Source organism: Homo sapiens, chromosome 12 (genome assembly GCF_000001405.40).
Source record: "Homo sapiens chromosome 12, GRCh38.p14 Primary Assembly".
NCBI classification, from domain to species: domain Eukaryota; kingdom Metazoa; phylum Chordata; class Mammalia; order Primates; family Hominidae; genus Homo; species Homo sapiens.
Genome location: NC_000012.12, coordinates 85,374,756 through 85,400,238, shown reverse-complemented (window position 1 = coordinate 85,400,238; position 25,483 = coordinate 85,374,756). Strand labels below are relative to the sequence as shown.

Below are 25,483 nucleotides of genomic sequence, written 5' to 3'. Positions count from 1 at the left end.
AAAGATGATGGCATTTTTAGAGAAGGGGAAAGACGTATGTGGATAGTCCATTAGTAGTGAGGATATAGTTGGTCAGAATGGTAGAGAGTAGATTTCAAAATAATTTACCTACCCTGCTATGGAGGTTGAGTATTTTTGAGGCTGAGGACAGACATTTCCAGATCTGTGCTTTTAAAAACAAAACAAAACAAAACAAAGCAAAACAAAAAACAGAGAAAGCTCTGAAGAATGGCTAAATTTAAAAAAGAATGTGAGCAGAAAGACACTTAGCAGGCTAAGGCAATGGTCTAATCAAAAGAAAATGATGAGGCTTTAATGTATGCTTTAGTTTCCAAATAGAGAAAAACTATACATGATGTGTTTTTTTGAGCCATATATAATTTTAAATTCCCCCCTCCCGTAATAAAGGCACTGATTTCCCAAAGGACCAAAACTCTTTATTATACACTTATGATGGAATCCCCTGAGTAGGAAAGTTTTTGAATTTTTAGCATCCATTTATTCTTTTAGAGATTTCAACAGCTATTTAGTCTCTTAATAAGAAAAAACCCCCACAAAACTGAAAAACTCCTAGCACAAGTCTTTAGAGAGTTTACAGAGGGTATTCATTAGGTTATATACATCTTACCGTCCAGCACCACATTCTCTTCTGTAACTTCATTAAGTAGGAATAATTATTCTTGCAGTATAGTTGAGATTTCCATGGAGCAAAAGCCACAGCATATGGTTTGACTCCGATCAGTCCCCTTAATAAAAAAAAAAAAAAGTTTAAGTTAAAGTGGCGTATGGTATAAATTTATAAGCAATATTACTGCCTGGGGCATATAAAAATTCTATCATTTGTGGCTAAAAATTGTAAAAAGGCCCTTTTCACAAGTTTTATTGTTCTATAAGAATGAGAAGTAATTTTATAGTATAATAAAATGGCTACATGTAAGTATTACCAAATCCATCTTAATATGTCCCATATACAAAAAGGAGTTGAAACATATTTGTATCCTTCATTTACATGCATTCTGAAGTATGGCATAAACATAATCCTAAAAATGCTTCTCATACATAAAATAGGATATGTTGCCCTACAGCAATGGTTATTAACTTGTTTTTGTATTGAAAAGAGTATCTACCCGTCTTCTTTTACTTGCAAATACTGAGCAAGTCTGCAGTGAACAACTGTATTTTGCCTGTTTGCATTCATTCAGTGAATATTTACTGAGTTTCTGTCATGTGCAATACACACAGATTAGCCAAGTAGAATCTGTCCCTGACTTCATAATGCTTACATTCTTAGTATATCATTTTTAATGCACTTTGTACCATTATGGTTCTTTAATACCTCTCTACTTCAGGGTTTTCCAAACTCGGCACTATTGATGTTTGGGACAGAATAATTATTTCTGTAGAGTATTGTCCTGTGCAGTGAAGGATATTTAGCAGCATCCCTGGCCTCTACCAACTAGATCCTGCTAGTGCCCCTCCCCCAGTTGTGTCAAACAAAAATGTGTCCAGATATTAAAAAATATATCCTGGGGGACAAAATCAACCCCCATTGAGAATCATTTCTGTCCTCAAATAAGAAGACAGAGTTGTGCTTTCCACTCTAAATAATGTTGTTTTAAAAACTTAAGTAAATTTTAATCCAAAACTATTTCTAAATGATGCCCAAAATCTAAGTAAAAAGTAAAATAAAAAGTTCATTACATTGCTATTGCCTAAAATGTCAATGTTCCTTAACATCTTGATATTTGATGTTATGTAGCCAAACAATCAGGTGACTAACTGAATGTGCCTTTGTTCATGTGGAAATGAAGGCAAGTTTTTCTTTTGAAATTCATTTCTTTATAATTATTGTTTTAAAGGATACAGCATTTATTTCATTTCTCTTCTAAAATCTCAGAGTAGCTGAACAATTGTAAAACAAAATGTATATTCAACAAACATAAACAGTTATGTGATGCAAAATGCCTACACTGCAACATTAAATTATTATATTAAATTTAACTGAATCAGTCAGGACAGATCATGGGTAATCATATATAACAAAGACCTGTTGATTTTAATTGAATGACCAACTCATTTTTCCAAGTATTGAATTCAGCTTTATACTTGTGAAAAAACACAGCTTTTGAATTTTGCATAACATGTTTCATAATATTCATAAAGTTTTCCATATATCAGGTAAGCGTCTCTGAAAACTGACTCTGAGTTATTCAACTGAATCTAAGTTAAATAACTTTCTGGTAGTAAAAGTGGGAAGTTAATAAAAGAGGAATGTTAAGAAAATGTTGATCACATTCTGCAATTTGAAATAGGGTATAATTTTTCTTCCATTCTTTTTTATCCTTTTAGAAGTTAACAATAGCATAGACCTGCTTTTGTTATGTAGGCAAAGTAGTATTTTAATTTTACTTTTAGCTATACGAAGTGGCTATATCTTCAAATTGTCTGTTAAAATACGAGATCTATTTTGAAATCAAGCATTATTTAAATTAATTCTTCCATCATCATTACGTGCTAATACAAAATCAAGGTTAACCCCTTCATAGTCAATTTAATTTTATAAATGGACTGACTGATAAACTTCCTTCTAGGCTTTCCTAAGAAAATCAATGTCAACTTATTGATTCAGAAGCATTCTTTATTTACTTCAATGGGCTAAGATTACAATCAGAATTCAGTCAACAAGAAAATAAGGTACCATAATCTCCCTTGGCCTAAGGTTCCTGCTATACTGTAACAAGGGAAACCCACAGTAGTTTTTCAAGAATTCTTACTTAGGAAATGTGTCAAAATCAGTCTTCATAGATAACTTATGTGTTATATTTTTTTCTTATGCTCATTTTATCTTATGTTGCCATGGAGAAGTGTGGTGATAAAAGGGAGAAATTTGAAAATAGGGTCAGTTTGTCGTCTGATCCATTCTGCTTTGCTGAATTGTATAACTCTGTGGCTGTCATTTACTCTAAACTAAGTAGATAACAATGACCAAGGCAGCTTTATGACACCATGCTATATTCTGAAACTAGATGTAAAGCCACAATCTGTAGATTTTTAATGTTTTAAAAGGTGCTAACATAGCTACATGTTATTAAGCATGTAGTATCCAATGTACATATGAACAGGAATACAACTACATGTTATCAATCATCATTCTATATTTCCTTCTTTCCTAGTCCCTTGAGACAAGGTTCAGACATTTCCTAGCTACATTCTATTGTTCATTTTCTAAGAATGAAGATATTGGAACTGGTTAAAAGCAATAACTTTTACCTATTGATACTCCTTTTTACACCCATAATCATATACAGGAACGTTCTTCTTTGTGACGCTTTATGTCTGTTAAGGTCCCGATAATTGACAAAAAGGAATACATTCTCAACTAAAAGGATAGGTAGCCAGGGTGAAAAAAACAAGAGCTTTATTTGTGAGAAAACTCATGCTTCAAATCCTGGTTCTGCCACTAAACAGCTGAACAATTTATTGCCTTTTCTTGAGTCTTTATTATTTGTAAGTGATAAACTTTGGCTTCAGTTATTAAAATAAGTTATATTATACCCAATTTTTTTTTCTTTTTGAGACAGGGTCTCGCTTTGTCACCCAGGTCAGAGTGCAGTGGTGTGATCTTGACTCAATGCAGCCTCGACCTCCCAGGCTCAATCAATCTTCCCATCTCAGCCTCCAGAATAGCTGGCACTACAGGTGTGCACCACCAGGCCCAGCTAATTTTTGTATTTTTTGTATAGACATGATTTCACCATGTTTCCCAGACTCCAAATTATTATTATAGATAATATATTATAAATTATAATTTATTGTTGAAGATAAATTTATGGAAATTAAAATTAATCAAGGAAGATTTCATGAAGGAGGTAGGGTATATGGATTTGGGGGACTGGAAAGTAGATGGAAAATGAACATTTCTGGAATCATAGGCAAGGCAATGTTTATAGCACATGTGAAAGATAAACATAAAAAACATAAGGAATTTATCAGAATTGTATTATACACAAACCCCTCTCCCATTCAATGTTGTGTCACATAATCCAGCCCACAGCAATAACAAAGTGACTACAAACCTCCCTCATTTCCCCAGTCAGCTGTATTCCTAGGTATTTTATTCTTTTTGTGGTAATTGTGAATGGGATTGTGTTTTTAATGTGGCTCTTGGCTTGGATGTTGCCAGTGTATAGGAATGCTACTGATTTTTTGTGAAATATATTGATTTTGTATGCTGAGACTTTGCTGAAGTTGTTTATCAGCTCAAGGAGCTTTTGGGCAGAGACTGTGGGGTTTTCTAGATAGAGAATAATTTTGTCTGCAAATAGGGGTACCTTTATTTCCTTTCTTCCTATTTGGATATATAAATTATTCATTCTACGATAAAGACACATGCACACGTATGTTCATTGCCGCACTCTTCACAATAGCAAAGACAAGGAATCAACCTACATGTCCATCAACAAAAGACTGGATAAAGAAAATGTGGTACATATACACCATGAAATACTATATAGCTATATAAAAGAATGAGATCGTGTTCTTTGCAAGAACATGGGTGGAGCTAAAGGCCATTATCCTTAGCAAACTAACGCAGGAACAGAAAATCAAATACCACATATTCTCACTTATAAGTTGGAGTTAAATAATCAGAACCAATGGACACAGAGAGGAGAATAACAGACATTAAGGTCTACTTGAGGGAGGATGGTGAGAAGACAGAAAGGATCAGGAAAAGTAACTATTGAGTACTATGCTTAGTAGCTGGGTGATAAAATGGTCTGTACACCAAACCCCAATGAGACAAGTTTACCTGTATTAACAAACTTGCACATGTACTCCTGAATCTGAAATAAAAGTTAAAATAAAGAAACTTATTTCAACTACTGCTTGTCTATAATCTATTCTATATATAATGGACAGAAGGATGTTTTTAAAAACATAATTCATAATACTCCCCTTCTTAGTATCTTTTAATGGCTTTCCATCACAGCCAGAGGAAATTCTAACTTATTGCCCTAGCCTGTGCAGTAGTCTGTGATCTGGCCTCACATTCCTCTGATCTCCTCTCACCCCTCTTTTACCCACTTCGCTCACACTGGCACTCCAGCAATGCATACCTTTATTTCAGTTCTTCCAACACACCCAGCTTATTCCTTCAGGGCCCTTGCATCCTTTGCCTTGAATTTCTGTACAGATATTCATATAATTTATGCCATCTTATCATTCAGATCTCAGCTATTCAAGTCATCTCCACAAGGAGGCCTTAACATTTGCTATTTGTCTTATTCTTGTTAATTTGCTTGGTTATCATGCTATTCCCATCGCGAGGCTCTATGTGTATGAGAATGAGACCAGGCCTACCTTCTCTTTTTGCTACATCCTCAGAGCCTGGAATGAAGATTTATCATGGTTGGTGCCCAATAAATATTTGTTATAGGAAAGAGTGAATGAATGAAAGCCATGAGTACATGGGGATAAAAATAAAAAACAAAAACAAACAAAAAAACACAACAATTCCTTCACAGGGAAGAGATTCCTATGTTGCTGATTCACTTCGTGTGTCTAGGAGGATTTTAAAATCTCATCAAAGTATTTTATATTTCTACTCCTTTGCTTTTAGTTTGCTTAACCCACAGAATGTAAAGGAGAAATACGAACAACAATTTTTTGAGCCAGTTATTTGTATTTTCCATTTCTTGGAACTTAACCAACACTTTTAGAAATCCACATTCAGAACATTTGGATCTATTTACAAAGTATAGTACTTTGAAAGTGATTGAGCAAATACTGAATGTATGGAAGCAAAGGTATATCAAATAATTAAACAACCAGCAAAAGTTCCATACACAGAGGATGACATTTTCATTGGTAGAAAGCAACACCATACTCTTATTACTTAAAGAAAAAGGTGTCTTATTACAAAGCCTATAATTCACTTCCTTTGTGACATTCACTGCAAAGAGCTTATTTCAGCACACGTGTACAAACACCCCCTAATTCACAAATCCTGTTCAGTTACATTGAAAAGAAGGTTTTAAACTGCAAAGTTGTGAATGGGTTCTCTTTCTCAGATATCTCTTGTTTGATTACGATAAATTGGGGTTACTCTAACAACTGAACACACGACATGTTAGGATCTTTGTTCTTACAGCCCAAGACTGTTAATTTAACTACATAGCTTTGACACATCATTTTACTGCTTTGAAGCAAAAAGGCAAGTGGACTTTTTAAAAAATTTTTTAAAGAAGTTAACTTTCAGTAATAAAGTGAGGAAGACATTTTTTGGATTATATCTTCCTTTTGGCTTGTCTATCCTCACATCATCACATTTTCAGAAAGAAGGATTGGCTGGAAGCTGGCTCCAACTAAATCCTCTCTAGTACTGTTTCATTGAAGGATTAGAAAGTGACAATTCCCATCAGGCAGCTGTTTTTTTTCTTTCCTTGCCAGACTCCAGGGCAATCATATGAAACTGAGAGAAACCACAACTCAACTGTTGGCCTTCCACTTAATTTTTCATACAAATTTAAGGTCAGCCTATGGCCTAGCAACCAGTGAGGTACTTCTAACATGGAAAAAGTCACACAATTATGTGGCTATTTTGAATATGATCACTGTATTACCTGACAATTAAAAGCCGGCTTTTCAGTTGGTAGCAGAAATGGAATTCAATGCAATGGTATATTTTGAAGGCTGTACTAATTCTTATAAGAAATTAGCTTTTATTTCCTATGGATTGTAAACTTTTGTCAGTAAGCAGAGTTAATATGTTTGAATTAATTTTTTTTGTAAAAGCATGCATTCCCTTTAGAAATGACAATAATTTCAAATAATCTATTATAGATAAAACATTTATTTATATATATTTATCTTCTTATATAAAGGGAGAACTATGTGTGTTCTTGAATCTGAAATTTCTATTTAAAAACAAAGTATCATGTTATTTTTACTTTTTAATTTGCTGTAGCACATTATGATTTTTAAGTAATTGAATAAAAATGGCTCTAACATAACTTTTTGTTTTCAGGAAACATCTAGGAGTTGCTTACATTTTTAACAGAACCTTGAATACTTTGATTTTGTAAAGGTTGATAACTCTTTTTCCAATTATTCATCTGGAGAGAAACGCAAATATTAAACTGCATTTGCTAAGCTGCTCTTAAGTCTTTTGGTTAACATCTTCTATGAATTGACTATGTGATGCCTGATAGAGTCCTGAACTCTATGTTTTTCTGATGACTAGATTTGCCCTTCAGTAACATTTGCTCATCATCAATATCCCATGAATGAGATGATGTTTCATTGGAAGAAACAGATTGAAAACTTGTGTCTCTTATTTTCTGACATCTGGGTGAAGCTCCCAATGTGATTGTTTTTACTTTCTTTTAATCTTACAAAGAAATGTTAAAATTGAAGGACTGACCTTGTGTTCAAAGTTATTGTCAGAAACAGTGAAGTCATAGGCTTCTGTTTTTAATAATGCCTCACAAAACACAGAGCATCATTAATCATAAATGACTGCAGATTTCCTAGATCCTGGCACTGCTATGGGGCTTGAGCATTTTTAAGAGTCTTATAAATTTGAGCAGACAACAGCCTCATGACATTGCATAAAAATTTAGCTGTGATGGAAAGATGAAACAAAAGTTGAAAGCATTAAAATACTTAGAAACCGAAGATAGTTTTATTGCATTTCAATAAAATATGAGTCTAATTTTCAACTACTTTCAGTTTTTATGTTTCACTAACATATCTATCAATCAGCACCTTTTTATTGAATGACTACAATGTGTTCAGCACCATTTACCACCATTGACAATACAGAGACATGAAAAATTTATTCAAGAAACTTTTTATTGAGCATTTGAGTGTGACATTCTGTGCTGAGTACTTTAGAAGTACTCTGCCTTTTAAAGATGAGAAAGATATTCTTTTCTTCAAGAATCTTATAGCCAGCTATGGAGATGTTATAGACTTAACGTTTTGTCCCCCACCCCCAAATTCATATGCTGAAATTCTAACCCCCAATGTGATGGTATTAGGAGGTGGGACCTTTGGGGAGCAATTAGGTCATGAGAGTGGAGCCCTCAGGAATGAAATTAGTGTCCTTATACCCCAGGGAGCTCTCTAGCCATGGGAGGATACGACAAGAAGACCACAATGTGCAACCTACAGAAGGGTCCTCATCAGAACCTGACCATGCTGGCACCCTGATTTTGGACTTCTAGAGCTACGATAAATAAGTTTCTGTTATTTATAAGCCACCCAGTCTGTGGTGCTTTGTTATAGCAGCCTGAATTAAGACAGAAGGCAATTTTAAAAATATATAACATTTAAGAAAAGTACTAGACAAGTGAAGCACACTGAGGAATCTATCCTTTGGCTCTTAATTTCAGGGAATATTACTTGCTTGAGAAGGGAAACAACGTGGGTCTTAACGAGTAGGTAGGATTCAGATGAGAAGAGAAATAGATGAAGAAGTTATTTCTTAGAGAATAACTCTAAGAAAGGGCATTCATGTAAAAGATGTGTTTTAGGAGAAAGTGAGTCATACTAAAGGGAGATTATGTGGAGGAAATAATGCTAACAAAAATATCTCAGCAATTTTATTATTCAGTTCAATTCAATAAAGTGCATTAAACGCTATGAGTAGACACAACTAGATTCCATAAAGAGTGAAAAATTGAAGAGATAAAACATGTGCTCTCAAGGAAGTTTTAATCAAGAAGGAACTTTTTTTTCAACTATCTCTGCCAAAACTACTCTATTCTGCCACTGCAGTGCAAAGGCAGTCACAGGCAATACCTAAAAAGTATACAAAAAACTCTGATGTGTTGCAAAGAAATATAAAAAGCACTCTTGGTACTTACTGCAGAAATAAGTCATATGTAACCTGAGAGGTAATGGTACTCTTAATGAAGGCGCCATATGAACTAAGTCTTGAAATGTGTATAAAGCAATAATAACAGAATTAGTTTGCGAAGTCATTCCATGTGGAAGGAGCAACCCAGGCACAGGGAGTTGGGAAAATGAAAGGTGTGCTCATGGAAGAGCACATATTCACTTTCATTTGAACGCCTGTAAATGAGGGAAAGAAGCTGAAAATAGAGCTATTTCCCATGGTCTGCTGATATGTACTTAACACCAGCTCTCATAAAATGTATATATACACACAGATTCATGTACATTAATTTATGTTATTGGTGTAAAGGATGTGTAACTCACAATTTTATAAATGATGATAAAATACAGTACTTTTTATTATAATTTCCACGTAGTCAAATAATTCTCACAGAGTACTTTCATTGATATTGATGCACTCTTGTATCCAAAGCCAAACTATAGTTGCAATTAACAACTCATTATAGTTCCAACATGAATATTGGTTGATAGTTTGGCTTACATTAATGAGTAAGATGAGAGTAAAACAATAAAGATGAATGTTGGACATTTATTCATTTTTTTTCAATGACATGCACAACTTTTAAATCATACACATAATAGTTTTTGAAAACTGAAAGAATATTTCTTCAATTTGTTATAATAGTCATAATTTGAGGGCTACACAGAACACATTTTTAAGTTTGATGTGCATTATTAACATTTTTTTCTATTACTTTTGTAAGTCAAGACCAAGGGTTAGCAAATTATACACAGTCTATGGGCCATGTTTGGCCCACCATCTGTTTTTGCAAATAACGTTTTATTAAAACACAGGAACTACCATTTGTTTCCCTGTTAGTTTTGGCTGCTTTCCCCTTGCAATCATAAGCAAACTGTTTCTTAAAGGGCCAGAGAATAAATATTTCAGGGTTGGGAGCCAATTGTCTCTGCCAAAACTACTCTAGTCTGCCACTGCAGTGTAAAAACAGTCATAGGCAATACCTAAAAAATGAACATGGCTGAATTTTAATACAAAAACCAGCAGCTGGTCCACTGGCTATCATTTGCCAACTTTGTACACACTCAAGAAAACAATTCATTTTTATTCCCAATATGCAATATTTTCCCATTTCTGTGGTGTAAATTTTCCCATAATGGTGATTTCAATTTACTAACAACACATTACTGTACGCAGTTAGGAAAAGATGCATAGTATCACACCATAAAGAGTATTTCCACCATACAGATGCAACATATGTTAATAACCTCAAGAGCATAATGGTAAAATGGCAAAATAATTTTAAAGTAATGAATTTTGAAGTTTTATTACCTTTGTTTTTAACAAAAATGTTTAATTCTGTTTATATAATTTAATCTTTCCTAATACTTGTATTTAACAATTGGGTCACAAAATTTCTCAAAATTTAACATTCAGTCTCGGAAAGTGATATGAGCTTTCTCCAGCACACTAATGTCAAACTCAAGAGATAGTGATGTAATTTGCTAGGCCAAATAGAGTATTAGAATCATTTTGAAAATGCAAGTTACATGATTATGATTGTGCTTTAATGAAGATGTATCTGAAAGCAATGTGAAGGATAAACTAAACTGGAGGGAAATTAAAGAACAGGACACAGGTTATGAAGTTCTTACAGTGTTTTAAGCAGATATGACAAGAAATGAAACTATAGTAGTGACAGTAAGAATAGAAAGGAAGAGGATAAGATGTATGAGACTACAGGGAAGTATAACCAGTACATCTTGGCTATTGATTGGATCTGGAGAATGTGCAGTCAGTACAGTTAAAGATTATTTTAATTCTAAGGATTTTTAAAAATCATATGTGATGGTAAGTATGCTGATTTCATTGACAAAAATAGGATTTAAAAAATGTTTTCAAACACTTTATTAAGATCACTATCATATTTTTAAAAGTAAAAATAATTTGATATACAGGAAAGAAAATACACTATTTTCTGGAATATTTGATAATCAAAAAGTTTTGATTATTGATGCCCCATCGCAAAGTGTGGTATTTATATGGATCAGTGTGCACAGTGGAGACCCAAGATTAAATATTCAAGGAAACTGCCTGTTATCATAAATAAAAGGATAAATTAATAGTGAAATGTTTCACTTTTTAGTTAAAACTATTTTATATGAAAACATTCTAACATATGAATGAAAATTAAAACACTTTTAGGTTGCTCTTACTTGAACTATGATGATGAATAAGGGACAAAATCTATGCATATGTCCGTATTAATTGCAGCATTAGTGAAAATTAAAATTGAGTTGCATTTTACGTGAGGTTCATTCCATTGGAATGGAAGAGTGACTAAGAGTGAAGAATCTGAGTCATGAATCTATCACTTATTAGCTGTGATCATTTGAACAAGTCACTTAACCTTTCTGGGCCATAATTTTCTTAACTTGTAATTAAAGAATACGGTAGTATCCCACTAATATCCCCAACAGGTTGCGAATTTCAAGTGAGGCATTTCAAATAATGCCCTTACAACAGTGCTTGGCACAAAGTAAGTGGTGAATAAGTGTTAGAAATTAATATTATTTTATTAGTAGTAATGCGAATAGACTATTCAAACTATACCTTCTTTCAAATATTTGTGACTTATAATTTATCTCTATTCTACCCACGTAAGCATGCGCTATTTTAAACTCGAAGTATCAAGAAATATTCTATACTGATAATATTTTGAATTTGACAAAAATCTTTAGGATAAAGGAAAAAACGGTACTTAAAAATAAGTGTGTAATTTTTGATTAAATATAGGCCCAGGAATTGGGGATTTGGGATCTTTCCCAAATGATCTAATGAGTTGCTTTCTACTGAAGGAAGGCTATATGTTTTCTGCACAAAACAATATTTGCTTTTTGGAAAGGTGAATTCACTCTCAGGGACTGAACTCCCATCTCTGTCTTGAGTCATACAGGTCCATACCTTCTATCCAGACTTCTCTTCTGACCACTGTCAGAAAAATTCACTCAAGTGCCTTCTCCCTTTTGATATTTTACACGCAAATTTAACTCAACATCTCTGAGAATAATTTCATCATATTCCCACTCCACTCTCATACCCCCAATCTTCTCCTCCATTATTTACTAGTGATCCAAGCCAGAAATCTGGGAGTCATTATTTGTTCCATTCTTTCCCTCACTTCACACATTTAATTACTGCCAAATTCTGCATATTTTGTTCTCTGATAGTTCCTTGTATGAATGGTGACAACAGATCCTTGCTAGCCCTGGGAAGTTCTAGACTTTACCTGTTGTTCTAGTTTAAATATGGGTTACACTCTTTCGTGCTCAAAGAAGTTGCAGCTTGATGACAAAATATATCCTACTCATTTTCCTTTTTATCCTTTCAACAGCCAATGACACTACTAAAGTTAAAATCCTAGTCACCTCTTCATGGATTTGTGTGATAATATCCTAAATGATCTCCAATCCTCCAGTCCTTTTTCACTTCAATTAAAAATGTACATTGAAAATTGAATGGTCTTTCCATAAGGTAAATTTGACATTTACTCCCATGCTTAAACCTACAAAGGATTTAACATTTATCTGAGACCAGACAGATAAAACCCAAAATCCTTACATCAGCTATACAGATGTTTCTAATGTCAAACCACTCTTGCCTTTCTACAACAAACTTTTTTATTTTTGTATATAATTTTATTCACTGTTGAATTGAGCTTTTATTTACAATTGTTGAATCTGTATTCATGATTAAGCTAGGCTCATACTAAGTAATTTTCCCTTTATGTGTGTGTGCTGTCAATATCTGTTTTGACATCAAAATGACACTAGCATCACAAAATGAAAGCACTTTTTGAATGTTCCTATTTGGAAAAAATGGTATAAGAAAGGAATTTCCTGATTCATGGAATTTGATGCAATATACCTATGAAACCATTTGTTCCTGGGGTCTTCCTTCATGGCTAATGGCTCATTGTAGCAAAATTATATTCTTCAGAATGTTGTTTATGTTTAATTTCTAGTGCATGTTTTTCAAAACCATCATTTTAAACTTGTCATTCATTACTTGTAAATATCTGCTATCTGTAGTTATTTGTTCATTTTTATTAATTGCTTATACCTTTTTCAGGATAACTATTGAAAACTGATTATTTTGTTAATCTTTTGAAGAAAACAGTTTGTGATTTTCTTACTCTTATTTTTGTATCGTTGTTCTCTATAGTATTCTTTCCTTCCTCTGTCTTTATAATTTACTTTTCTCTTATTTCTTTAGTTTGTGGCTTTCATTTCAGCTTTTCCAGTTAAACTCAATTCATTTATTTTAAAATATTTCTTGCTCTTGTTTATTTTGTATTTTTAACTATTACTTTTCTTAGCAGTGTTTCACAGATTTTGTTTTCTTATTTATTTTTACCATGGTTCAGTTCTAAGATTACACTGTTGCTGTTGTTCTTTGTTTTTTAATGGAATGCTTTGGAGATTCCAGATACATGAGATTTTTTAAAGCTATCCATTTCACTGCTTTATGATCAGACAACATAGTCTGTATGATAAATTTTGGTATTTAATGTTAATTTGTGACATAGAATTTGACCAATTTGTGTTAATGTTTCATTTGTTCTTTAAAAGAATTGGAGGCTTGATCTCCAAGCCTCCAATTAAGACTATTAAAAACTAAGAATTTGGGGGCCGGGTAGAAAGTTAATAGATATGTACAAGTTGCTGAGAGAATAGTTTGAAAGGGAAGTCAAAGTGGAAAAAGAGTCTGTTAATGGGGTTAATAAGGTTTTTTAACAAAAGCTAACAGTAATGAAAAAGGTAAAGGAAAGATACTTCAAAAACCACACCCACACCCACACCCACACAAACACAAACACACACACAACAGAGAAGTAGAAGAAAGATATATAATATGTCACATGGAAATCTTAATATTGACAGTAATGTCAGGCTGAGTCAAGCTATTTGCATGGTTATCTCCTCATCCTTCATGTCTCACCTTAAGTTGGCGTCCCCAGGAAACAATTCCCTGACTATCTAATCGAAAGTAGGTCTTCCTATCACTTTCTACCTCAGTACCTAATTTATTTGTTAATAGCAGTTACCACAATTGTTAACTCTTCTACATATTTGACTGTTTTTTAGTCTATCATTTCTAAGTGGCTGGACCTCCATGAAGGAAGATCCAACATCTTTCTCACTGATCATTGTCTCTTGGGTATCTAGGGCTAGACTAAGCACCAAGAGGAGAAAATACGTACCATAAGGAGAACACAGGAGATCTTTGCAATAATGCATAGTGTGATTTGAAATATATACAATAGGAATTTGAAAATAAAAGAGAATGTTTTTAAATGCTCTTTACTAGATTTAGAAACTATATTAGTTTTAGAAGCTAAAATCTTCCAAGTCTCATAGGTCATCACTTTCTGTTAAATTAAGGGAGTAACTAATAATATATGTTTTGTGACTTTCATCATACTGGAAATTGAGATAAAGCAAGAGAAACGAGGAAAAGAGAGAGAAAGAGATAATTATATATTGTTAAGAACTTTATTTTTGGATAAAGAGATAGACATATAGAGAACAAATTAAAAATAATAAAAACAAATAAAAATCATATAGGCAAATGGATGGTATTTATTCAAAGTTGTTAGGTGAACTGAAATATGAAAACAGTAAGAGTTGTGGGTCATCATCTCCACTAGGTAAATAAATTGAAAGGTGAGGAAGGGCAGTTTCCCAGATGGCTTTAGTTTAGTTTGGCTCTGAAACAAAAATACTGTACTCTTAAAGGGAAAATGATATTTCAGCCTTTCTGTTCCCATGAAAAGAAATATGAAGAATTGTAAATCTTTAAAGAGGAAGTTCATTTTCACTAAGCTTTTACCTAAAGTTTCAAAAGAGGAGAAATAATTTCATTTATGTTGGATAAACACTTATGAATATTTTAATTTCTAACAAATAAAAAAAAGTTTGAAGTTTCTCTGATGTTTTTCTTCTAAAAAATTATTTAAATGAAAAAGCTGCTCTTAAACAAACAAGTTGCTGAAATACAGTAGCCATAGCATATAAACTATGTCTTTCTCTTAAGCTGCCAAGTTCAATTTCATAAATTACCCAAGTTTTCTAAAGTATCCACTGGAAGATATTTTCTAAAATAGGCTTCAGTATGTGTACCTTACTATTAAAGCTTATCAATAAATGCCCTGTCTCTTAATGTATCAAGATGACCTAATTCTTCATGAAGAAGTACACAGTTACACAAAATAATTTCATAGTTTTATATATATGATCCAGAACAAACTTAGATACTTAACTTAGAAATCTACTTTTTCAAATAAAAAATACATAACTTTTTATACTGTTGTGTGCATATTGACTTTATTTTTGAATATATTATTAAAAATTTAGATAGTTTTAATTTATATTTTCTTTAATTTTGATGGTATGACTAAGCCATTCTAACATCAAATATTAAAGATGCCCTATTTATTAAATGTTTACAAATATTTTTAATTGAAGTGATACATTTGAATAATTAATGATTTCATACTTATGTCAAAAACTTCTTAATCTCATAACTATACTAATATTTTCCACTGAGCTTTCGTACACATGATGAATAAATGTGCCCTGACAAAAGAATCTTTTGCTACTCAAAGCCAAGAGTCTTCTTTTTGTTGATGAGAATTGTTACTTTTGAAATGATATTCATTCATCCTCCCTTTTAGCACCTCTAAGTTTCCATTCACTCAAATGATTAACAAGTATCAAAAAGTTTCCCTATGGAACAGATCAAAATTGGTATCTGCTTTCTGACCAAGACAATGTAGTTGATGTAAATAAATAAATAAGGTACGCAGAAAATCTGCAGTAATTCTTTGTTCTTTATTTATTTATTTATTTGCATTAACCTCATTGTTCTGGGCAGAGAACAGAGACCAGTTTTTATATTTGAACACTTACTTGGTTTTTGTGTTTTAATGTATGCTACAATAGAAGCCAACCATTTTATAATTTCTACAGCTTAGACAAATCAGGTTAGACAGAAGGTAGAATGAGAATTTTCACCCACTGCATATTCATTATATAACCAGCACTGTGCTTGACTTCTTCACATCAGACCAATGAAGTAAGCAAAATTACACAAAGTCCAGATCATCTGAATAAGTTACAGAATCCCACATACCTAGAGGGACAAGGAGCAAGGATTGTATATTTCGAAGCTACCCTGTCCCTCTCCTTGCCTCCCTCCATTCCACTTGCCATATACATATAATAGTATTTATCTGCTATCAGCTCATCCAGGAAAATTTATCTGTCTTACATATAAATATTTAAAGAAAATTTTAAAACACTGCATACTGTTACAACAAAAGTTAAAGTTATGAATCTTTTATACATGTGAGAAAAACTCACTAGAAAAAAATTCACAAGGAAAAAAATCTCACAATGTCTTCAATAATTACAATTCAACATTACTACATGAAAACCACCATAAAAACAACAACAATGTAGCAATTGTTGATTTAAGAGAAGATCAGGAATACAAGAATGCTGAGAACAGCAGTATAGGCTGGAATAGGTAGGAAGCATACCACAGAAGAAAGAGAAAGGGAAAACTGTAGCTCTCAGGAAGTAAATAGAAGGAAAATAGCCAAAATACTTGAGAAATAATGGCTTAAATTACAGAAAAGGACAGTAGCCACTAAAAGAAAAATGATAAACATAAAAGGAAAAGGTGATTCCACTGTACATATCACTGAAATTCCTGAAGGAAACTAAACAATGAGACAAGACAAAAAGTTAAATATGTAATTAAAGAAAACATTCTGAAACAGAACTATATCATTTCATATATTGAAAGACCATATTGTGTACCAAGAAAAATTCACTCAGGACAATGTTACATTTCTTTGTAAATTTATTTGACTTTCAAATTAAAGAATCCAGGCAAAAAATATTGTGTCACATATATGAGAAAACAATGAAGCTGGTATCAGACTTGCACACAACATTCCATATGAATCTTCTTCACATTCCTATAAGCTCTCCTTCAGGTATGTAGGGTAAAGACATTTAAAAAAATTTTTTTAAACAACAAAAATGTATTTTCTCACAGTTTCACAGGCTAAAAGTTTAATATCAAGGTGTCAGCAGAGTTGCTTTCTTCTAAGGCCTCTCTTATTGGCTTGTAGATGGCTGTCTTCTATCTATGTCTTCACATGGACTTCCCTTTATATATGTCTGTGTCCAAGTTTCCTCCTTTTATAAGGACACCAGTCATATCAGATTAGGGCCCACTCATATGACCTTATTTTAACTCAATTACCTCTTTAAAAATCCTGTATCCAAATAGTCATATCCTGAACTCCAGCATTTGAATTTGGGGAGACATAATCAGCACTTAACAGGTACCAGTGATAACTACCTCTAGTTATTTGCAGAGCATATAGAGAACCAAAAAGAAGAATTTCCAAATTACTTGTAATCTCATCACCCACAGGGACCCACTCTACATACCTTCTAGTCATTTCTTATGTGTACACAGCTAACACAGACATATGTCTTTTTTACCAAAATAGGATCCTACTGTGCCTACTGTTTTGCAATCTACTTTTTTATTTCACCATTATCTTGAACATCTTTCCACATCAATTCTATTTTTTAATATATGGATTTACCAATGTTTTCTTAACCTTGTGTTGTTAGGTACTTAGGAAGTTTCAACTTTTTATGATAAACAACACCGCAATAAACATCTTTATAATTAGATGAAGTTGCATCTCTATCATTGTTTATTTATTTATTTTACTTAAAGTTCTGGGATACATACGGAGAACATGCAGGTTCGTTACATAGGTATACATGTGCCATGGTGGTTTGCTGCACCTATCAACCCATCATCTAGGTTTTAAGCCCCGCATGCATTAGATATTTGCCCTAATGCTCTCCTCCCCTTGCCCAACAAATGGTTTTTAACTTGAAGGTACTCAGGGAAGAGCATTCACATAGTCCTTGAAGAGACTGCCTGATAATGAATTCCATTCAAATAGCAGTAAAAAGATGACCTACTAGCACTGACTACATTTAACTGCAGATCCAAAAATAAAAGGTGGGGAGGGTGATTAGAGTAAAAGAGTGAAATTGAAGGTTATATTTTTGGACACTATAGAGATTGCATAACAAACAAAATTTAGAGAAGGGAAGATATGGATAGATAGAAAAATAGACAGATATTGATTGAACATTTATATTCATATCAGTCTGAAAGCCAGCATCAGATTAAATGGAAAAATAATACTGGGGACAGTTTCATTAAAGCTAGTAATAATAAAAGGCTGTTGCTGTCACAACTATATATTGTACATTTTTGGTAGGTATTCTCCAGTGAAAATATATTAGGAAAATAAAGAGATGTATATAAATGGGAAGGTAAAGTTTTTATTATTTGTAGATGCAATTATTCTCTAGCTATCCAAACAAACGTCTATCCAAACAAAAAGATAATTCAGTAACATAGTGATTTAAAAATAATACAGAGATATACTGTCATCATAAATGACAAGATCTAGGTAAAAATATAATGGAAGAGAAAGTCTTGTGTACCATATCAACAGGAACAATAAAATTAAGAAATTCAATACAATAACAATGAAAAGGTTTCTACAGGTTTTATTTATTTTCAACCCTGGAAGAAATGGATGTGCTGATTCGAATTTACAGCAAGAAAAATAAATGAACAATAAAAGCCACTGAAACTCTAAGTAAGAAAACAATGTAAGGAGACCAGCCCTATCAGATAGTAAAATAGCACACAATAAAAAGCTTCAATAATTGGCTGGGCGAGATGGCTCATGCCTGTAATCTCAGCACTTTGGGAGGCCAAGGCAGGTGGATCACCTGAGGTCAGGAATTTGAGACCAGCCTGGCCAACACGGCGAAACCCCATCTCTACTAAAAATACAAAAATTAGCTGCGTGTGGTAGCACATGCCTGTAATCCCAGCTACTCAGGAGGCTAAGACAGGAGAATTGCTTGAACCTGGGAGGCAGAGGTTGCAGTGAGCTGATATCGTGCCCAGCCTGGGCGACAAAGCAAGACTCCATCTCAAAAAAAAAAAAAAAAAAGCTTAGATAATTAAAACAGTGCATGTAAAATAAGATGGAAAGGACAGAATTGAGAGTTAAAAGTGATTCTATTACACTTATCACATTTGTTTTAAAGTGAAGACTGCATCTTCAATCCTGGGCAAACACAAACTTTTTAATTCATAGTGTTGAGACAACTTTGTGCTGATCATAATCCAAACTCCATAATCCAAAATGTTGAAATCCCCAAAGTCAAAATCCCTAAAATCTAAAATCCCTGATGTCTAAAATCCAGACAATACTGAAACATTAAAACCCTAAGTGTTAAAATCCTGAAAGCTGAATTCTGGGGAAGAAATTAGTGCATTTTTCAGTTGTGTGAAAGACAGTTGCATGGACTTAATTTTTGGTGTTAACTTGACTGGATTAAGGAATATCTAGAAATCTGGTAATGTATTATTTTGGGTGTGTCTGTGAGGATGTTTCCAGAAGAGATTAGCATCTGAGTGTAAGTAAATTAGGTGGAGAAGATCTGCCCTCAGTGTTGATGGGCACCATCTAATAGGCCATGGGCCCTGAGAACAAATTCAGAAGACAAATTGGTCCCTATCTCTGAGAGCTGGGACAGACTTTTTTTCTGCAGCCTTGGACATGAGAACTCCAGACTCACCGGCCTTTGGACTCCGAGACTTACACCAGTGGCTCCCCAGGTCCCAAAGCTTTTGGCTATACCATCAGCTTCCCTGGTTCTCAGGCCTTCAGACTTGGACTGAGCCATGCTGCTGGCATTCCCAGGTCTCCAGCTGGCAGACAGCTTGTCATGGGACTCTCAGCCCCATAATTGTGTGAACAAATTATCATAATAAATCCCTTCTCATATATTTATATACATATCCTAATGCTTCTGTCTCTGTGAAGAACTCTGACTAACACAGATGTGGTATTAGGGAAGCTAAGTGTTACTCCTTTTACTGTATACAACACAATGAAAGAGATCTGTGAAATTATTCCCTCACAAAAAGGCTGTGATAATGGCGTAATGATAAAAGTTTAAAAGCTAACTATTATAGGTACTGCATGTGAAAGCAGAAAATTGCTTGTGATATCTGAGCAATAACCAGATTTTCAAATGCACAGCATACACTTATGGAATGTATGGACCACAACCACTCTCCAAACACAAGTGCAGAGTATTTTGAAGATCATAGAGGTGAAAACACAGGTGAAAAATGCTTGAAATCTCCTCTACCAAGTAATTTGATAGTGTACTTCTGTACCGTAATGCCAGTTTGCTGTTATATATTTAATCATTACATCATTGTTTAAAAACTTTTATATTTTCTTCTTCAAATTTGACTCCACAAAAATGCATTATCACAATGTTCACTTCATGTGTAAGCATTGTGAGTGAATATAAAAACTCTGATCCTCAATACATGAAGATATATCTTACTTTGTATATCTGCATTTGTGAAAGAAAAAATTTTTTCAAGATCTCAGCTCTTTGGGCAACTGCATACTTTGTTGGGACCCATTGCAGTATTTGATAGATCTTGTCAAAAGACTCAGTGTGTCCATCATAGTATTTTACATGACCACAGTTAAAAAGTTGGGTGCACACAATTGCCAACCATAGTGATATATGTTTATGCATTTTGCTTTTCGACCTATTTCTTTATAAATATGGTTGATTTATAACTGTTATATTTGTGTGACTTGTTAGTATATATTAGTGTTTATGCTTGCAAAAATATGTGTCCTGTTATTGTATGTCTTATTGTGTAAAGTAGCTGATGAAGTATCCTCTCATGTTCTTATATGTTTTCAAATAAACCCCCCCCCCTTTTTTTTTTTTGAGACGGAGTCTCGCTCTTTTGCCCAGGCCGGACTGCAGTGGCACTATCTCCGCTCACTGCAAGTTCCACCTCCTGGGTTCACGCCATTCTCCTGCCTCAGCCTCCCGAGTAGCTGGGACTACAGGTGCACGCCACCACGCCCAGCTAATTTTTTGTATTTTTAGTAGAGACAGGGTTTCACCGTGTTAGCCAGGATGGTCTCGATCTCCTGGTCTCGTGATCCACCCGCCTCAGCCTCCCAAAGTGCTGGGATTACAGGCCTGAGCCACCGCACCCAGCCCTAAACCCCATTTTTAAAATGTAAATAATGTCTTTGATATTTTCGTCTCCAAAATTATATTTTCAAGGTCTGATGTTTTGGGATTTTAGACATAAGGAATTTTGATCTTTGGGGATTTTAACATTCAGGATTATGGCATTCAGGTTTTTGTCTTTCAGATTACGATCCAAACCCAGTTTGAGTTTACAGCATGGTGGCTGGCTTACCCAGAGCTAGCATTCCAAACAGTATGGGTCAAGTGGAAGCTACGTCTTTTTTATGACCTACTATTCGAAGTCATACAATATCACTTCTGCCTTACTCTTCTGGTTGAAGTAGTTAAAAGTCTGATCCAGATTTAAAGGGAGGAAACAGTCTACACTTTTCCTGCCAGCTTTTCCATATAATTTTGTATGCTAGTTGACATTGTTAATTAGCCATGGGTAGTTAATATTTGACAGCATTTGCCAAATATATCCAAATTTACTTTTTTCTTTTCTTCCTTTTTTTTCTTTCTTGATAGAAGTGTCTATTAATATCTTAAGGAGCAAAGTTTGAGAATTTCTATTCTCTATATTAAAATGTCATGTTGATAAAATGTTCAGCCAGCAGCAACCTTGGAATGATACATTTTGTGGTTATTTACTTAAATTGAAGATAAAATATTGTGGTATTCCTTCAATGTGTCCTTAGTAGAACTTTATAATCTGCCAACAATAACAACAGATCATTTTTAAAGCCCCTAGACTAGGAATAAGCTTGCTTTCTACGTTGTGTTTGAATTCTCCCCCTTGGCAACCTGTTTTTACTTCCTACAACTAAGGCACCATGCTAACCTTTCCAAAGAAGGTCTGTTTCCTAAAATATGCAAGAGGTACAGGTATGGTCTACTTGTGGCTAAGGTAACCAGGAAAAATTCACTGAAAACAATGTGAATCAGCCCTTGAACTACTAAAATGAATGAAGGTTTTGGAAATGTCATCCAACGCAAAATTATGACAATTCTGGGAATCACTGTTCCAACTTAGATAAAGTGACACAGCCACACAGCCACTCTTCTGGGCTCCCTCTTTAGAATTCCATTGGTCATTTTTTTTTCTTTCTTTGAACTAGTGCCACCTTGTCTAATTTACTGTAGATTCATACTAAGTTCTGACAGTGGATATGGCAATTCCCATTTCATATTCCTCCTAAGATATCTAATAGCTGATCTTGAACATTTACTCTAACACATACATTTTATCAAATTTCATGGAAAACTCTGAGATTTTGATTAAAATTGCTTTTAATTAATAACTTATTTGGGGAAAATTGAACGTAATCTTCACATTATTTGTGTTCTTTCATATCTACTAATAAAGTTTTAAAATTTTCTTTGCAGAGGTCCTTCACACTGTATGTTAGCTTTATCTATGTACTTGATATTCTCTGAGAATACTGCAAGCAGTATTATCTTCTACTTAATTGCAATTTCCAGTTATTTTTGCTGGTATATAAACTGAAAGCACAAAAAATGTTTATTCATTAATTCTATATCCAGCTTTAAAAAAAAAGACAAAAATCTTACATTACTCCCTAAATCTTTTTCTGTATTTGGGGGACTTTCTAAATAAAAGATCCTGTTATCTATAATAATGACGATCATATCCCTTTTCAATGCTAGACATATATTTTTATGTTTGTCAACAAAATACAAAGTACCCAGGTAACTCTTTAAAGAATAATAATTAGTAATTATTTCTGCCTTTCACATGTATTATATCATTCACTATTTATAACAGTCATGCAAGACTGACATCATTTATTATTATTGTTAGTATTATTATGTTTATTTAATATCCCCATTTCATGATAAAGTCCATGAAGTGACTTTTCCAAGGTTGTTATTCATTAATATGAGGAGTTCACATTGTAAAATCAAATTACCTTAAGTAAAAAATAATAATAATAATAGTATTTGAAGTGTAAAATTCCGCAAATAGATCAGGAATGTCTGGAACTAGGTGCTCAAACAATATAAGAAAACTAGGCTCTTTTTTTCTCTTTCTCTGTCCTCCTCCTCTTTCCCTTATCTTCTCCCTTTTTGTCTTTTTTGTTCTCGCTCATCAATCATCTTTCTCTGTGTTAGTTATATTCTCAGAGTAGTTGACATAGTAACCCACAGAAACTTTAGTGTACATTACTGTAGCTAACAACTGCATAATTTCTCTTTCTATGATTTAAAGAAAGAATCCTAGAAGGGATTCTCAGTATTCTGGCTTGATATATGGGCACATCTTTGAACTAATCACAATAAGCAGCTTGGTTATTCGTGCACAGATCTTAGTGTATGTGACTGTGTGCTGTGAAAGTTCCTAAGTGGGATGTACTGATTTGCAGTTCACTGTCTCCACTGGAATGGGGCCCTAACATGAACCTAAACCAAGTTGGCTAGTTCCTTACCCTTACCTAGCCCTATCTGCATTCTTCTCATTGAGGTGAGCTTTGGAGATTTGGGAGACAGATACTGTCCCTGAATCCCAGATGCTGAGTATGATCCTTATTAACCCACAAGGAACTACGAGCAGCAGCCTGCCTGAAAGAATACTTCTACTGACACATCTCCTACTGTTTTTTTCACCATGTACAAGACTAGAACTCTTAGTTGAATTCACCAAATCAGACCTAACGGTTTCATGAGCACTTCAACATTAATTGGAATATCTGGCCTACATTAGTTTCTGAGCTCAGCCATGTTTAGGACAGAATCATCCCTTACACTCATCCACTGAGGTGACAGGTAACCTTATAGTAGAGAAAACTTAAGTCATAGCACCCAGGGAATTTTTTTTCTCAATTATTTGGTTGAATATATTTTAACCAAAGATTTTCCTAGAACCTATATAGTATTTTTTAAATGTCTACCTTTACTAATAATCAATATGTAATGCAGTGTGACATAGTGAAAAAAGATCTGGGTGTAAACATAACCTCTTCATTTCCTATCCTGGTGAAACTGGATGAGGAGCTCTTCAAATTTTCTGACCCTCTGCTTTTTTATTTATAAAATATACATTAAAATACTTATAAGGTTGCTTTAAGGATTAAAGGTATATAAAGAGTAAATTTAGATATATAAATAGTAATATAAATTTATAAATTTACTATTTATATACCTAAATGGAAGTTTGGGTTATTTTTTAAATATCTAGTATGTTAAAAGCATCACGGAAAGATAATACAAAGACAATATCACAGACAGTTTCTCAAAGAAGCAGCGTATAATTTAGTAAAAACCAAAGTATAAACAGGATCAAACTAAAATTCTAATATAGAAAATGAATAACAAAATTTAAATGATTTCAGAAGACAATAATTATTTCTCATTTAAGTAATATACAGAATGAATATTATGATAATCTCAAATTCATATTTACAGTTATGATCGCTATGCATAAATCCTTATTCATTTGGAAGTAAATGTTCTTGGCATCTAAATCCATGTATAATTGATGTTTCAATCTATGGCAATAATTCACCACAGAAGAAAAGTATAATTCTATGTTTGGAAAGTTCTAATTAATTTTCAAACTCAATAAAACCCATCATTTAATCAACGTCCTGGATTGTTGCTCTGAGTATAATTCTGTGGTCATGTCCAAATTTGAAGTGAAGTAAATTATGATTGAATAAACAGACAACTTTTTCCCAGAATGATTTGGAGTTGATGCTTATACTGACTGAATTAATGAATCCTTTGGCACAGCCAAAACATATTCAAAGAAGAAACTCAGAAGAAATTATTTTGTCTTTTCATGGCTCCAAATATTCTACCATTTTTGTTTTCTCAAAAGATTACCCATTATAAGCCAACCAGCCAGAATAAAACATGAATTGGCAGTTTTAACATACACCTTATCTAACAGGAGAGCCTGCTGTGTTGTCCTGGGTACTCTGGAGAAAAGGAAGGTGTCAAATACTTGTCTCCTAATGCTGGGCTCAACAATCACTAAAGTTCTTAGATTTCCTAGCAGGATTAGTTAGAGAGGGCCTATCATGGATTCTTAATTCTTTAAGAAAACATTAAAAAGTGGCTTCTAATTGCTTTCGTGCAATGGTTAAAGATTAACCAGAGGGGGTGTATTTAGACAGAAAGTGTTTGATTAGGCCTAAAAACTTCCTGCAACAATCTGTGTAAGATTCCTCTAAATGGACTATGGAGTTCAAACTTAACAGACATTATTTTGGAAATTACAGCTCACCTCCACTCATGAATGTATTATAAATTATATGTTTTAAATGCATACCAAATATTAGTACCATTTACATTTTTGGTCTGTTCAGCACTCTATTTAGTAAATATAATTTGATAACCATAAAAATCTTAAGCCTTGAATTACAACTTAGTTCTA

General features: G+C 33.5%; 1 long non-coding RNA gene across 2 annotated transcripts in view; it reads right to left on the bottom strand.

Moving 5' to 3' along the window:
- LINC02820 (long intergenic non-protein coding RNA 2820) overlaps positions 1 to 25,483 on the bottom strand; it is a 172,109-nt gene that overhangs the window by 89,889 nt on the left and 56,737 nt on the right. For both annotated transcript variants that reach the window (NR_183553.1, NR_183554.1), the window contains one exon: positions 629 to 746. This is a non-coding gene — a long non-coding RNA (long intergenic non-protein coding RNA 2820). The remainder of the gene's footprint in view (positions 1 to 628; positions 747 to 25,483) is intronic.